We start from the raw sequence: 16060 nt of genomic DNA, 5'->3' as shown, positions 1-16060 counted from the left end.
GATTTAGGTGCTGATGTAATAAGAACAGTGACAAACAAGGTACACAGGCAAGGCACAGTCACAGGCCTGGCAGCCGAACCAGAATGAAGCTCATGGCACTACCTTGGAAAGCGCTGCCACCCTCTGGGCCAGCTCCGCCTCCACCTCCGGGAGCGTCTCTGCCTTCCTCAGTGTCTGTTGCAGCTTTTGCTCTGCCAATTCCAAGCGCTCCTGTAACTGGCGGTTTTTATCTTCAGTCTATAAAATGAGAGCAAAGCATCAAAATGCAACAAATCTTCTAGCTGATCAGTTTTTAACAGATTGAAACAAACTGAAATGCAGATACAGACTAAGAGAGTCATGATGGAAGAGCTACAGTGATGGGAGTTGCTTCTGGGTCAGGTTTTTGTTTTTGTTTTTGTTTTTGTTTTTGTTTTTGAGACATAGTCTCGCTTTGTCACCCAGGCTGGAGTGCAGTGGCACAATCTTGGCTCACTGCAACCTCCACCTCCTGAGTTCAAGCAATTCTCCTGCCTCAGCCTCCTGAGTAGCTGCAATTACAGGCATGTGCCACCAGGTCTGGCTAATTTTTGTATTTTTAGTAGAGACAGGACTTCGGCATGTTGGCCAGGCTGGTCTTGAACTCCTAACCTCAAGTGATCCACCCGCCTCAGCCTCCCAAAGTGGTGGGATTACAGGTGTGCGCCACTGTGCCCGGCCTGGGTAAGGTTTTCTTGCTGCCAGGAGTACATGCCCACTTTCCTGGTCTTGGTTTCAATGTGCAAAACACCTCTTGTCAAAGTGTTTGCTTTTCCTAAATAACTTTTAAGAAGCTTTTTTTTTGTTTGTTTAAAGACAGAGTCTTGCTCTGTCACCCAGGCTGGAATACAGTGATACTCGTAATTACAAGAATAAGTATGGTTTACGAAACCACAGGAGACCCAATTTCTTACTACAGACTTCACTGCCTTTTTTTTTTTTTTGAGACGGAGTCTAGCTGTGTCACCCAGGCTGGAGTGCAGTGGCACAATCTCGGCTCACTGCAACCTCCGCCTCTTGGGTTCAAGCGATTCTCCTGCCTCAGCCTCCTGAGTAGCAGCTGGGATTACAGATGCGCGCCACCAAGCCCAGCTAATTTTTGTATTTTTAGTAGAGACGCAGTTTCACCATGTTGGTCAGGCTGGTCTCAAATGCCTGACCTCATGATCCACCTGCCTCGGCCTCCCAAAGTGCTGGGATTACAGGTGTGAGCCACCGCGCCTGGCCGCATTTTTTATTTTAGAGACGGGGTCTCGTTCTGTGGCCCAGGCTGGAGTCCAGTGGCACAATCATAGCACAATGAAGCCTTGAACTCCAGGGCTCAAGTCATCCTCCCTCCTTAGCCTCCTGAGTAGCTAGGGCTAAAGGCACATGCCACCATGCCCGGCTAATTTATTAATTTTCTGTAGAGACAGGCTGTTCTCACATTCCTGGGCTCAAGCGATCTTCCCACCTCAGCCTCCCGAAGTGTTAGAATGACAGGCATGAGCCACCGCATCCGACCAAGACTTCATTTGTCATACTATTCATGTATCATAGTGCTCCCACTTAGTTACAAATAGCCAATTGCCTTGAAGTTCTTTGCCACTCTCTGCTCCTTTGGTAAAAATGCTAACAAGCAATAGATTAACTTTCAATTACAACAAAAGAAAAAACTGAGGACAAAATTGGTTAAATCAAATCCTACGTAATCAAAACCTCTAAACTGAAGGAACTCCCACATGTCTTGAACATAATATTCTAAGGTCATAAAAACTTGATATTTGGACTTGATTTCCAACATGAAAGTGAGAGAAAAAGGGTCTTTAACTTCATTAATAATTAACTAAAGCCAGACAAAGGTCGATAAAATCCATTACCTGTCGATGCATAGAATCTTTATTTGCAATTTCATTTTCAAGTTTATCATTGAGGTCATGCACAGATGTGGCTTCACGCTGTGCAGCGAGGTAGCGTTTTTCAAGAGTAGTGATTCTCTCTTCCATATCTTCCTTTTGGGCCATGGCCTAAATTAGGTATTTCAGAGGGGACAAAAAAGTAGGTAATTAACGATTACACATTAAGATACTTAAGAGAGAAAAAAACTGAAGTAAATCCCAAATTTCCAATCAAATTAAAAATTAGCATCCTCAGGCCAGATACAGCAGCTCACTCCTATAATCACAGCACTTTGGGAGGCTAAGGCGGGAGGATGGCTTCAGGCAAGGAGTTCAAGACCTTGTCTCTACAAAAATATTTTATTTTGTTTTTTGAGTCAGAGTCTCCCTCTATCACCTAGGATGGAATGCTGTGGTGCAATCAAGGCTCACCACAGCCTTGACTTCCCAGGCTCAAGGGATCCTTCCACCTCAATCTTCCCAGTAGCTGGGACTACAAGCGCACACTCCTATATCCAACTAATTTTTAATTTTTTGTAGAAATAGAGGTCTTACTATATCGCCCAGGCTGGTCTTGAGTTTCCTGGGCTCAAGAGATCCTCCTTGGCCTTCCTTTGGCCTCCCAAAGTGTTAGGATTACAGGCGTGAGCCAGTGTCCCTGGCCAAAAACATTTTAAAGAAACAAAAATTAGCCACGCATGGTGGCACGCCCCTGTAGTCCCAGGTACTTGGGAGTCTGAGACAGGAGGATTGCTCGAGTCCAGCAGTTCAAGGCTGCAGTGAGCTATGATGGCGCCACTGCACTCCAGCCTGGGTAACAGAGAGAGATCCTGTCTCAAAAATAAATAAATAAATAATAATGTCCTCAAAATTAAATTGATGAAGATGTCAATTTTCTCAAATGTGAATGAAAATGTAACTACCTCAAATACCATAAATATTCACCTATACGATTAACAAAGACTTGTCTCTCTTAATACTATGTCTGGCCACTCAGTTGACCAAGCTTTCCTGTTTCTACATAATATTATAAAAATATATACACTCAAATATCTAAATATTTTTCAAGGAGGTGAAAGTGTCCTCAAAGAAGACGCAGTCTACGTCTGCCTCACGCTACAAATGGTCTCACACAGGACAGGGTGCGGCCTCTCTCAGTGGACACAGTAGTGAGATACAAGTCTCACTTTCTAGGATAAGGGTTGGATGAACTCTCATACAATTACAAGACTCAAGCATATTGACAAATGGAAACAGAAGTACCAGTTTAATTTAATTGGATGCAACTACCTGAAGTCTACAAGATGATTACTATACAGTTTCAAACACTTAAGGCTAGGACCAGAACTTTTTGCTTGAGAAATACCTGTCCTCCACCCCCAGAATTCACTATTTTCAAGTTGTTCCCTATTTATAAAATGACTAAAGTTAGCAAAGTCTAAATATTACAAGTGATAGGGGAAAAAAGCTCAACATCACCGATTAGACAAATGCCAATCAAAACCACAATGAGACAGCATCTCACACCAGTCAGAATGGCTATTGTGGAAAAGTCAATCAGTAACAGATGCTGGTGAGGTTGTGGAGAAAAAGGAATGTTTTCCTGCTCTTGGTGGGAGGGTAAATTAGTTCAACCATCGTGGAAGACAGTGTGGAGATTCCTCAAAGACCTAAAGATGGAAATACCAACCCAGAAATCCCATTACGGGGTATATACCCAAAGGAATATAAATCGTTGTATTATAAAGACACACGCACACGTATGTTCACTGCAGCACTATTCACAACAGCAAAGACAAGGAATCAACCTAAATGCCCATCAATGATAGACTCCATAAAGAAAATGTGGTACGTATACACCATGGAATACTATGCAGCCATAAAACAGAATGAGATCATGTCCTTTGCAGAGACATGGATGGAGCTGGCGGCCATTATCTTTAGCAAACACAGAAACAGAAAAACAAAATACCTCATGTTCTCACTTATAAGTGGGAGCTAACTGATGAGAACACAGGGACAGACAGAGGGGAACAACACACACTGGGGCCTATCAAAGGGTGGAGGGTGGAGGATAGGAGGAAGAAGAGGATCAGGAAAAATAACTAGGCTTGGTACCTGGGTGATGAAATAATTTGTAAAACAAACCGCCAGGACACAAGTTTACTTATGTAACAGACCTACACGTGTACCCCAAACTTAAAAGTTAAAATAAAAAATTAAAAAATAAAAGTGATAGGTCTTAAAAGAATTTCAAAATTCTCTGCATATTAATCTCTGCCACATAATCTCCTGCTGTAGCCAAAGAATAGAACCTTAGGTGACATACTACATGCAAATGTTCTTCCTGTGGTGAATTCCTACATGAAATTACTCAACGTCAAACTACCAAACTGAAAAGCAGACATTCAACGGTTGAGGCGCCTGACAAGGGACAAAGCGCAGGTTAGAAAGTGACAGGAAGGGCACCTGAGAAAGCACTCAGCCTCACTGTTTCATGATCAAATAGTTTCTCTCTTTTTTTTTTTTGAGACGGAGTCTCGCTCTGCCGCCCAGGCTGGAGTGCAGTGTCCCGATCTCGGCTTACTGAAAGCTCTGCCTCCTGGGCTCACGCCATTCTCCTGCCTCAGCCTCCCGAGTAGCTGGGACTACAGGCGCCCGCCACCACGCCTGGCTAATTTTTTTGTATTTTTTAGTAGAGACGGGGTTTCACCGTGTTAGCCAGGATGGTCTCGATCTCCTGACCTCGTGATCCGCCCGCCTAAGCCTCCCAAAGTGCTGGGATTACAGGCGTGAGCCACCACGCCCGGCATTCATGATCAAATAGTTTCTCACAGTTATAATGGCAGAAATATTTGTCAGCAATGAGTATATTGTGACATATTTTTGCTATACGATCCTGATGACCCATGTAGAAGCAAATTCCACTCTTGATTGTTTGACCATTAATATTCAACGCCACAAATTCCTTGAAGGAGCAGGTCAGAAAATGAGAAGACCGCCAGCAACGCCCCCTCCCACAGTTAAGAGACTATACTCACATTGCCCTACGTGAGCTAGCACAGCCAGTATCAATATCTGCTTGCTAAGTATGTGTGCAACAGAAGGCAATCTGAACATAAGAACAAATTAAGACAGCCTAGAAATTGCACAGATGAAGAATCTACAAACAAGGACATTAAAGAATATTAAAGCAGCACAGGTAGGAGAGGCCAGTGTGGCGTCCACTTCATGGCCATGTCAGTCAGTGGGACTAGTTCTCTACTTTGAAGAGCTCAGGGACAGGAGATTTCACAACAAAAATGGGGAGGTAGCTTATGGCAGTTTCACAGCACTCTCTCTTTTTCAATATAACTTATACAATAATCCAAAGGTTGAAAGTAATTGGGAGAGTAAGAGACAAACAGAGAAAAAAAATCATTTAACTAAAACGTCCCAAACATACAACTTCATGACAAGACTGTAGTTTTTGTTATTGCTCACTTCACGGACATCTCGTTGCAATTTTGTGTTCATTTCTTCAGATTTGATGAGATCTTTTCTAGCCGTGTCCAGATCCTCTTCCAGTTCTGTCACATGACTGGAAAGGGAAGCCAGGCGTTCTTTCATTTGGCTCTGTTCCCTTGACTGCTTACTTATGATTTCTTGGAGCTCAATTACTTTAGCAAGGTCTTCCTCGTGGCTTAAAGAACCATCAGAAGATCTCTGATAGGGGGAAAAAAAAATCCTTAAATACCCTTGTTTGGTGAGCTATAAAATAAAAATACTTCCAGGAAATAGCTAAAATCAAAACTGACTTATGCAATCTGTTGGATTACACAACTTTCATGACCACTTCAGCTCTAAGCCGGTACTTTAGCAACTGTTTTCCACATAACCCGACACATACTGTGAACAAATGAAATCAAACAGAATAAAGACAAAGCCTACAGACTTGCCTTTCCACTCGTGCTTGGTGTATTTTCTTGTTCATGGTTTATGTCCAGCACTCCATCTGTTAGAGTTTTTTTCTGATTATTCTGTTCTTTAAGAATCATTAGCTGAAAGCAAAAAATTGAATATGAGTGTAAAATACCTTACATAAGAGAAATAAGTAAAGATAGCAAAACTCCTTTTGGAAAAACACAACTAAAAACTGCTTAACATAGTATAAAAGAGAAAGCATATGGCAATGCTACCCAATCCGAAAATAACCAGATCATTGAAGATGGAATTTATTATCCACTGGCCAGACGAGTCCTTAGGTAACCATCATTTTGTAGTCCTTAAAATGACTCAGATAGGCTGGTCCTCAATTGGGAAGATAAGTAACATGTGATATGTACAACTACAGTCCTTATACTTCTTTTACTTTTTTTTTTTTTTTTTGGAGACAGAGTCTTGCTCTGTCACCCAGGCTGGAGTGCAATGGTGCAATCTCAGCTCATTGCAACCTCCACCTCCTGGGCTCAAGCAATTCTCATGTCTCAGCCTCCCGAGCAGCTGGGACTAAAGGAACATGCCACAACTCCTGGCTAATTTTTGTATTTTTAGTAGAAATGGGGTTTCACCATGTTGGTCAGGCTGGTCTTGGAACTCCTGACCTCAGGTGATCCGCCCGCCTCGGTCTCCCAAAGTGCTGGGATGACAGGTGTGAGCCACCACGTCTGGCCTTATGCTGCTTTTAATAATTAAAGGATAAAAATAACCCCCCCCCAATTCAACTCATGATGAAGTCTCAAGCTTACCTCTTTGTGTGTGGCACCTAATTCCTCTTCTAACAAACTACATCTTTCAAGTGCTACTCGTAATCGCTCTCTCACCTGAAAATAAAAGGGGTTGAGTTTGTGTGTGTGTGTGTATACTGTTTATTTTATTCTTAATATATAGTTAAGTGTAATATATACACTTAATGTATATATTAGTGTAATATAACATAATAAAATACCATTAATGTCTGTCATTGATCTTACTGTCAAGAAAACTTGTTAATGGCTCTAAATTAAGTTTCAGAAAAATAAATCTTCCCCCGAAATATCAGGTTGTTGCAAAAGTAATTGCAGGTTTTGCCCACAATTACTTTTGCAACAACCTAATACTACCCAATTTGTAACAGCAAATCAATATACATTAGTAATTTTAAGACATTTAAGCCAATTAGTACTTTTTAAACCTACAAAACCCTGTCTTCTTAGAGAAGTTATTTCCAAGAATTCAAGAAGCTTCAAAAAACAAAAGTTACACCAACACTTGTGAAGCTGGCCTAATACACAGCATGTGCACAAACCAAGACTTATGTGGCTGATGGCACCTTTTCATCCAGAGCTTTGTGGTGTTCAAATAAGGACTTCAGTGCTTTCAGCACTTCCACTTCGCTGGACACGCCTGCTGGAGACTGCGCTTGTCTCTTCACCACGGTCATCCTAAGAGACCGCTCATGCCTGGAGACAAGGCATTCCAAATGCTCTAACAGCAGCTGAAATAAAAGGCCAAAATAAAGACTTGTTAAACAGCATTTTTAATTTCATGATTGAATCTGGGGCAAATAACTCCTTTACAGTCTCATACTAAAATGAAGTCCCTTCAATTCCGCAGAAAAACAAATTCCTCTCAATTGTATTAAAATATCATAAATTCTCATCACAAATTTCAAGCCATTAATGTGTGATCATGCTGACTAATCACAGTCTGCTCAGTGGGAAAAGGTATGAAAAGTATTTCAGGCCAGACAGAGTGGGTCGTCCTTTCGTTTTGACACACCGCCCCTCCTCCTGACAGTGGCTCCAGGGGCAGGCAGTGAACAGAAAGGTCACACTCACCCTGGTGTTATTCCTTTCTGCTTTCAGTTCAGCAATTTCTTCTTCCCTTTCAAGGAGCTGTTCCCTGCATACATTGAGTTCTTTAGTAAGTGCTGCGAACTCCTAGAAAATCACAAAACAAAATTAAATAAATAAGAAAGACCCCCTAAAGAAAGCCTTTCATCAAGGCTCCACAGTCTTCACACAAAGGCAACCTCATTACAAGTTATGGGGAAGGGATCTCAGTGATCCTCCAGAGAAAGAGGGCATCAATGGACCACACAGATTCCCTAACAAATCACAACACTGACAGACCATCTGACTTCCCTCTATCCCTGCACCCTGGGACAAGGACAGCAGGGAAAGAAGGGGAATCCAAGTCCACCTTCTCAGCAGCCAGAGAAGTCCAAAACATTTTCCTGAACAGGATCCTGACATGAACTGAATGAAGACATTTTAAATGACTCACAGACATGTGATCTAGAGTTGCTGGAGAGAGAGGAAAGATGGCCTAGAAGGCCACCACCCCTGTCCTAGCCTCCTTTTCTTCCTTTTTCTTTCTGAGACAGGGTCTCATTGTGTCACCCAGGCTAGAGTGCAATGGTGTGACCATGGCTCACTGCAGTTTTGACCTCCAGAGCTCAAGTGACCCTCCCAAGTAGCTGAGACCACAGGCTTGAGCCACCGTGCCCAGCCTCTCTTCTAAAGTAATATTTCTTCTGCAAGAATCCCTACTGTGGGTAATCAACTTCTAGCATGACAGCACAAGAAGCTCCACTGACCTGCTTGCTCCCAAGGAAAACAGGTGAACATTGTAAGAAAACAACTGTTCTGAGACTCTGGAGATCGTTCTAAGGGTTCACAGCAAACAACTGAAAATTCAGTAAGAAAGGCCAGAGTCTGTTGTATTTGAACCAAGACTGCTCCCTGCCTCCCCTTTCCAGGTCAGTGAGGCAGCGACTCTGTTCCAGACTGCTGCAGCTGATAATGTAGTGCCCTCTCCCCCAGTTCCACCCCACCCCAGCTACGTGGTGCTGATGCTGCATCCTGGCTAGTGGAGTCATGGGCAAAGTGGGCCTTCCTACCTCTGTCCAGCCTCCATTCTGGAATGGAGGCTCAACTTTGAGTGTGGCAGGCTGAGAATACTGGGGGTCCTGATCAGCTGTGCCCTGGCTCTGTAAGACGGTAGCTGCAGGGCTGGAGTGACAAGCTGAGAGGGCCCTGGCTGCCGCCATAAGACCAGGGGCGTCATTCAGGGAGAAACGAGTTTGGTGACATTTAAACCTCTTTAAATGTTAGGGCACTAACATTTAAACCCTGGGCACTCTCTTTAAACCTAGGAGCAGTGGAGGTCCTAGTGAAGGCAACTGGAGGTGTGGGTTTAATGGAGGCACAGCCTGGACTGCGGCTGGCTAGTCAGCAGGGAGAGCTGGAGAATTCTTGCTGCAGGAGCCCTCCAGAGTAGGAACAAATCTCCTAAAATGACTTCAGAAACTGTTTCTTAGAATTAGCCACAATTTCACTGAATTGGTTTCTAATTATCCCAGGGCACTGCTGAAGACAACAGAAACATATGTGGGGCTCAGAACTGAGTGTGGTCAGAGAGAGTGGAAGACAGCAGCAGGGTGACTGTGGACACATCCAAAGCTGCGCCTGGCTGGGGAGTAACAGCAGAGGCTGAACACAGCGGGGGTGGGGAGGGGACACAAGCACATTCCACTACATGAATCTAGCATTCACTGAACTGCTTAAGCTGGCAAGTTTTATCTTAGTATATTTTATTGCAATTAAATATATATAGACATTATAAACATATTATACAGTGAGTTTTGGAGACAAGGCTGCTCCTGAGACCATAAAATTAGCTAAAGAACATGAATAGCTCTTCAATTCAGTATTTCAGTGCATACTTGCAAACACAAAGAAATGCCAACAATACTAATGAAGATCACCCAAATGTGGCTTAAAACCTGGTAAGGATCTGTAAGTGCTGAAACCTCTTCAGAGATCGAACGCAGCATTCAGAAGCGGGCTCCTGGGCTGGGCAGCGTGCGGGAGGAGGGTAGGGAGAGGCCGCCAAGTAGACCGGTCTTCTGTCCATGTCCTCCCACCAAGTTTGTTTTCCTTCCTAAGTTTCAGAGATTTCTTATGTGCCAATATTAATCATATCAAATACCGATTTACATCTCTGATAATTAACTCTAGCTGACTGTCAGATCATCTAATGGCTAACTTTAACGAAACACTGTCATCTCATGAAGGGGTTCGTACATGAGGAAAGATTATTTCTCTTGCAGGCAAAAAGCAAACAGACTCAAACTAGCTTCAGTTAAAAAGCCATTATTAGGCCAGGCATGGTGGCTCACACCTGTAATCCCAACAGTTTGGGAGGCCGAGGCAGGCAGATCACCTGAGGTCGGGAGTTCGAGTCCAGCCTGACCAACATGGAGAAACACCATCTCTACTAAAAATACAAAATTAGCTGGACATGGTGGTGCATGGTGGTGCATGCCTGTAATCCCAGCTACTCAGGACGCTGAGACAGGAGAATCGCTTGAACCCGGGAGGTGGAGGTTCCGGTGGGCCGAGATTGCACCACTGCATTCCAGCCTGGGCAACAAGAGCGAAACTCCATCTCAAAAAATAATAATTAATAAATAGCCATAATATGGCACATAACTGTCAAGTCAAAGTACAGAGTCGGCTACAGGCCTGCCTGAATTCAGGACCTTGAATTTTATCATTGTGCCCCTCCATCTTGTCCCTGTCATCTGGGTCAATTTTGTGAAGTAACTGCCAATCCACTAATTTTGTCTTTGACTATGTCTGGTCCAGAGTCTATCATCCTGGCTAATATCCTTTTCATTTACTAGATTTCAAGTTCTTCTTCCTTTTTCTTTTTCTTTTTTGGGTCATATCTTCTTACTCTTGTTTCCTTTTGGGCAATTTCTTGTTTGTTTTCATGGATGCTAATTTATCTTTTTAAGCATCTTAAACATACTTATTTTGACAGTTTTTGCCAGACTGTCCTTAAATTTCCGATGCAGTAAATGCACAGCTCTGTAAGGCATCAGCTCTGTGAGGATGTGTATTAGAGGTCTTTGAGCATAGAGGAATTGGGGTCTCGGGCTCATCGCGACAGAAGGTTTTCTGTTGCTGGTGCTCTCCTCCCTGTCTAGTGGCTCAGTCCATTCAGGCTGCTGTAACTAACTCCCATTACCTTTTAAACAACAGAAATTCATTCTTCACAGTTCTCGAGGCTGGAAGTTCAGAAGCAAGACATCAGCAGATTTGGTGTCTGGTGAGGGCCCAACTGCCAGCTTCTATGTCCTCACATGATGGAAGGGACCAGGGATCTCTATGGGGTCTCTTCTAAGCACATTATTCCATTCACAAGGAGTCCACCCTCATGACCTAATCCCCTCCCAAGGGCTCTACCTTCTAATACAGTGAAACCAGGGAGTGGGATTTGAGCATATGACTTTGGCAGAGCAGGGAACACAAAAGTATTCAGCCCATAGCACTAGTGTTCTGTGGTTGTTGCCCTCCAAGCCTTCCAAGGCCTCCGTCCAGAACTAGGTTTTCCATGGTGATGCAGGATTCTGTTGCGTGGTTATGTCACCAACAGTGCAGACCCTGGTAGAGAACCATGGAATAGCATGGCTCATCCCAGGCCTTGCATTCTACCTCCCTAGGACCACAACTGCCAGTAGAGCCCCAATCTGTATAGCAGAGAATTGCCTTAGATGGGGAAACCTTATCTAACTCCAGCTCCAAAAACCATCTAAGGCCAGGCATGGTGGCTCTTGCCTGTAATCTCAGCACTTTGGGAGGCCAAGGTTGGAGGACTGCTTGAGCCCAGGAGTTCAAGACCAGCTTGGGCAACATAGTGAGACCCCATCTCTACAAAACATAAAAAATTAGCCGGGCATGGTGGCACACACCATGCGTAGACCCAGTAGCATAGACCCGGCTACTCAGGAAGCTGAGACAGGAGGACTGCTTGAGCCCAGCAGGTTGAGCCGTGATCACACCACTGCACTCCAGGCCGGGTGACGAGAGCGTCTCAAAAAAAAAAAAAAAAAAAAGTAGCTACATCTAGTTCTAACTCCACTGAACACTTTAGTCCCTGTTACCCTTACCCCTGTAAGAACCCACTTTCCTACTGACACTGCCTGCTTGGAGCCTGCGGCTCAGTGGCCAGTGAAATCCAGTCAATTCAGGCTTACCATGCTAGGTTTCTAGTCTGTTTGTGTACTGAAGGGTATTTCTCTTGCTTGGTGGGCTGGCTATGCTTTTTGGTTTGTTTCTCTACTTAAATTGTACCTTTTCACTGTTGTGTTTGGAGGGGAGATGCATCAAAGCACAAGTGAGTGCTTCCACCTCGATCGGACGTTACAGTTCTTTCAAGAAATAGTGCATATCTCGTCTATGCTGGCCGCTGCAGCAACACAGAAACAGGGCCTGTCCACTCCTCAGGATGCTTTAAAGAACAGACAGACGAGCTGGCAGGAACCTCAGAGCAGTACGTGCTCTGGGTGAGAGGTGACCAGGATACTGCGGGAGCTGAGTTGAAGCCATCCATGATGGGAAGTGGGAGTGCTTCTCGGAAGGTTTGCTGAAGGACACAGCACTTGAATTGAGCTGAATTCTGAACATGCTGTATAGCCAGTGAGAGCCTCTTTCACAAAAGCAGAAGGTATCTGATAAGCAAGGGCTTCAGCAGGGCTGGGGCATGGGCAGCGTGTATGGAGGAAGCCGGTGAGGTCATAAGTGGGCAGCCATTCAGAGAACAACAGCACACAGCATGAAACCTGGATTTAATGTTGAAGGCTATAGAAATCACCTTATCTACAGGCTTTGAGGACTCTGAACAGAAAATGGGGCAAAACTGGTAAAGTCTCAGTCAGTCATTAGCATAAGGGATGTGCTCAAAATGGGTGTGTTGGAGCAATGAAAGGTCGCTGGAAGCACTGCTACCCCCGGGCTGGAGGAGATTAAGACTGGGAAATCAGCAGTGAGTTCACTGCAATAATCCCAGGGATTAATGAGGATCTGAACTAAAATCAATATTAGAGAAAAGAAAGAGCCTAAGTAAGGATTCTCATGAGCCGTGCCCTTCACCCGTTTTCAAAGGATTCCCCTGGATGCTGTCTTCAGAACAGCCTGTGAGAAGGTGAGGCCAGAAGTGGGGAGATGGGTAAGAAATGACTGCAATTATGCAGCAGACCAGGGTGGGCTCACCGCAGGTGGTGAGAAGCAGGGACTCTGGACCTGTTCACCACAGAGCCAGCAGGAGCTCCTGACAGGTCAAAGATCGCAGAGAAAGAAAGGCACGAGGATGCCTCCAAGGATTCTGGCGGAAGCAAGTGAAGGATGGAGTCATTGGTTCCTGAGAAGGGAGTGACTACGGGAAGAGTATGTTTTGAAGGGAAGGTGTAAAAGTTTGGGTTTGGACGTGCTAAATTTGAAATGGTTATTAGACAGTTGAGCGCAATTCACAGTCTGGAGTTTTTGGGTGTGTTGTAGAGACTGCAAATGGGGATAATCATTTTGTTCCATGCAAGTCAGTGAGGCCCTGGGTGGAGGGTGAGAAGAGATGGGGATCAAGCCCCCAACAGTCTCATTGAGGGGCATCAGCAAAAGAGGCTAGGAGCAATCAGGGATGAGGAGGAAAACCAGGAAACCCTTCAAGATCTTTGAAGATCCTTATTTCCAGGAGGATGATCAACTGTATTCACTGATGCCAGTGGATCAAATGAGCTGACTGATGCTTGTTGGTCGGACTTGCTGGAATGGAGATCGATGGTGACTGTGACATCTGCAGCATGCTGCAGTGGCGGGTCAAAACCCTCACTGGACTGAGTTCAAAGAGAATGGGAAGAGTGGAAGTAAAGCAGGGAGTACAGAAAATTCTTCCAAGGAACTCTGCAGTAAAGGGGAAGAAAAACAGTGCAGTGGCTGGAGAAGATATGAGGTCAAGAAAGACCTTTGCAGGATGAGACAGACATTTGCATAGTGAGGGCAAGAATCCAGTGGGGAGGTGGGAACTGATGAGTCCAGCTGAAAGCAGGTAAGTCAAGTGACTAAGAGGAGAGGCTGACCTTTTCTGGGGCACACAGATCACCCGCAGTAAAGGGAAAGAGGGCAGACGACATGGGGTGCGGGGTGCAGATCCAGAGGTGTGGTGGGAGTTGGTGGAACTTCTTTTCTGATTTCTTCCAATTTCACACAGAAAAAAACAAACACAATGTCATCATTCTGCATTTACATTTGGGGAAGATAGGAGAGGAGAAGGTATGAAATGGCATCTAGAAGAGAGGACGGGTAGGCAGCATGCCGCGTAGAAGAAAGAGGGCGGGATGCACTAACAGAGATGCTGGCGGCACTTAGGGCCTCTGCGGGTCAGTGGAGGTGAATGGGCATGGAGAACGGACTGAATGGGGTGGTTTCTGCCAGGTAAGCGCAATGAAGTGGAAGAGGCAAGGGAGCTGAAAGGCTGGCAGGGCTGGGAGGGTAATAATGGACCAGTAGGGGAGATGAAGAATCCTGACAAGGTGGCAGGGTCCTAGGACTGTCGGTCCCAGGAAGGTGGAATATCGGTGTTTTATTTTTAAAAGTCTATTATGAACAAATTTCGTCACCTTTAAATGAAAGCCCTAGTCAAAGCCTAAGTCCTCATAACAAGGAGGACCTGGAAGTGGAGGAAGAGCACTTCACAACTCGGATGATGCAAGAACCATGCAGCCTGAGTTACTACTGCACAGACCATCCATCCAGAAACAGGAAGGCTCCCACCTGGCCCCACCTTCACTCATGCACAAACCCCCCAGCACGCTGTCACTCTTCCGGCACCAGCAGCAAGCCTTTTTCTGTTTCATACAGTTTCCCTAAGGTTTTCCTAAGAACCCCAAACTATCCTCATTTCAACTTCCAGATTTTAGATTTGCCTCTAAAACCAAAGAGAATACAGGGAATTTCTATTATTTTGGTTAAATGTAAGTATTCCCAATATATTCAACTACCAAAACTATTCTATGGTATACTGCTGTGGCTACAGTAGAAAACGAATTCATAGACGTTCATGATTACTCCACTTAAAGAAAAAAACCTTTCTCTCTGCTCAGAAGAATCCAACAACTGAAAATATATCAAAGCAAATTTAAACTTAGCAGTTTAGGTAAACATTAGACGGGACATTCCAAAGTTTAAGATCCCAAAAGCATGTTCCTGTATGTACTGCTTGCATTATTATTGCAGAAAAAAAAATAGTAGGAACCCCAAATATGTGCAATAAATGATCTACCTTATTACATCAGAGGAATCTAATTGTCAGTGTACATTTTTTCCTATTTAGGAAAAAAAAATGTTAAGTTTAAAAATACTGTAAGTCAAATATATCACTAGTTTAAAGTGACATTCTATTTAATAATTAAAGTGTCAAGTATTTTCTGAAATAGAATAGATGCAATAATTACCGGAATATTTTCATTTAAAATATAAATCTGAAGAATGCAAATATGTATTTCTATTTGACATTATCTAGGATTGAGACAACAGAAAGTAACACTAAAATCAGCTAAAGAACTTGGTTTCACATAATGCCTGATAATGCTGATGTTTATCACTTCTGAACGAAAGGTTTAGATCTGGCTAACAGGTTCATATTATATAGACCAGACATTATTACTCAAAAGCCACAATCAGGTCAATTTCAAGTTAAGATCAGATGTGACATTTATTGCCAAAAGTGATCCATCTTTTCCCGTCATTCCGATGGCTTGAAGTAGCCCTATCGCCAGTGGAAAAGGGGCAGCAGAGCCTCATGGTCCCCACCCTCACGTGGGTGCCTGGGCCCTCTTCCCATCATCCCAATGCCTCGAAGTAGCCCCATCGCCAGTGGGAAAGGGGCAACAGAGCCTCATGGTCCCCAACCTCACGTGGGTGCCTGGGCCCCACCCCTTACCCTTTCCTCTTCCCGTTTTCTTTACTTGGCCATGTTACAATTCCACATCTCTTACTCTCTATAATCTCCTTCAATAGCTCTGTTTTGCTTTTTAACTGCTTTTCAACATTTCACTAACCTTTTGCTGAAAATGAAATAAAACTTCACTCAGTGGAATATTATTCAGCCATAAAAAGGAAGGGAAATTGGCAGGGCATGGTGGCACATGCCTGTAATCCCAGCACATTGGGAGGCCAAGGTAGGCAGATTACTTGAGGCAAGGAGTTCAAGACCAGCCTGTCCAAAATGGCAAAACCTCGTCTCTACTAAAAATACAAAAATTAGCCAGGCGTGGTGGTGCATGCCTGTAATCCCAACTATTTGGGAGGCTGAGGCATGAGAATCACTTGAACCTGGGAGGCAGAGGCTGCAGTGAGCCGAGA

The 16060-nt window shown here is 44.2% G+C and overlaps 1 protein-coding gene and 1 long non-coding RNA gene across 33 annotated transcripts in view, besides 2 other annotated features; one reads left to right on the top strand and one right to left on the bottom strand.

Annotated features, from left to right (window-relative positions):
* Positions 1 to 16060, bottom strand: part of PPFIA1 (PPFI scaffold protein A1) — a 113707-nt gene that overhangs the window by 52200 nt on the left and 45447 nt on the right. For all 32 annotated transcript variants that reach the window (NR_045286.3, XM_006718716.4, XM_011545309.3 and 29 more), the window contains exons 3-9: positions 7694 to 7795; positions 7186 to 7350; positions 6623 to 6697; positions 5834 to 5935; positions 5379 to 5600; positions 1878 to 2024; positions 103 to 237 (exon numbers count right to left, since the gene is read on the bottom strand). Coding sequence is in view for 31 of the 32 variants with exons in the window: in XM_006718716.4 (XP_006718779.1) it covers positions 103 to 237; positions 1878 to 2024; positions 5379 to 5600; positions 5834 to 5935; positions 6623 to 6697; positions 7186 to 7350; positions 7694 to 7795 (948 nt within the window). In the remaining variant the exon portion in view is untranslated. The remainder of the gene's footprint in view (positions 1 to 102; positions 238 to 1877; positions 2025 to 5378; positions 5601 to 5833; positions 5936 to 6622; positions 6698 to 7185; positions 7351 to 7693; positions 7796 to 16060) is intronic.
* Positions 2689 to 2825: a silencer, noted in NCBI's record as "fragment chr11:70175478-70175614 (GRCh37/hg19 assembly coordinates)". NCBI's record gives its function as "represses an EF-1alpha promoter that drives an FKBP-Casp9 reporter gene in an ReSE screen in phorbol 12-myristate 13-acetate-treated (for megakaryocytic differentiation) K562 erythroleukemia cells {active_cell/tissue: K562(+PMA)}" and the evidence as "EXISTENCE:reporter gene assay evidence [ECO:0000049][PMID:32094911]".
* LOC105369373 (uncharacterized) lies at positions 4943 to 7389 on the top strand. The gene is made up of 2 exons (NR_188532.1): positions 4943 to 5097; positions 7070 to 7389. It is a non-coding gene; the product is annotated as an uncharacterized LOC105369373 (long non-coding RNA).
* Positions 11584 to 11765: a silencer, noted in NCBI's record as "fragment chr11:70166538-70166719 (GRCh37/hg19 assembly coordinates)". NCBI's record gives its function as "represses an EF-1alpha promoter that drives an FKBP-Casp9 reporter gene in an ReSE screen in K562 erythroleukemia cells {active_cell/tissue: K562}" and the evidence as "EXISTENCE:reporter gene assay evidence [ECO:0000049][PMID:32094911]".

The sequence above is a fragment of the Homo sapiens genome, chromosome 11, assembly GCF_000001405.40.
Source record: "Homo sapiens chromosome 11, GRCh38.p14 Primary Assembly".
In the NCBI taxonomy this organism is placed as follows: Eukaryota; Metazoa; Chordata; class Mammalia; order Primates; family Hominidae; genus Homo; species Homo sapiens.
This window is presented reverse-complemented; position numbering and strand designations above follow the sequence as displayed.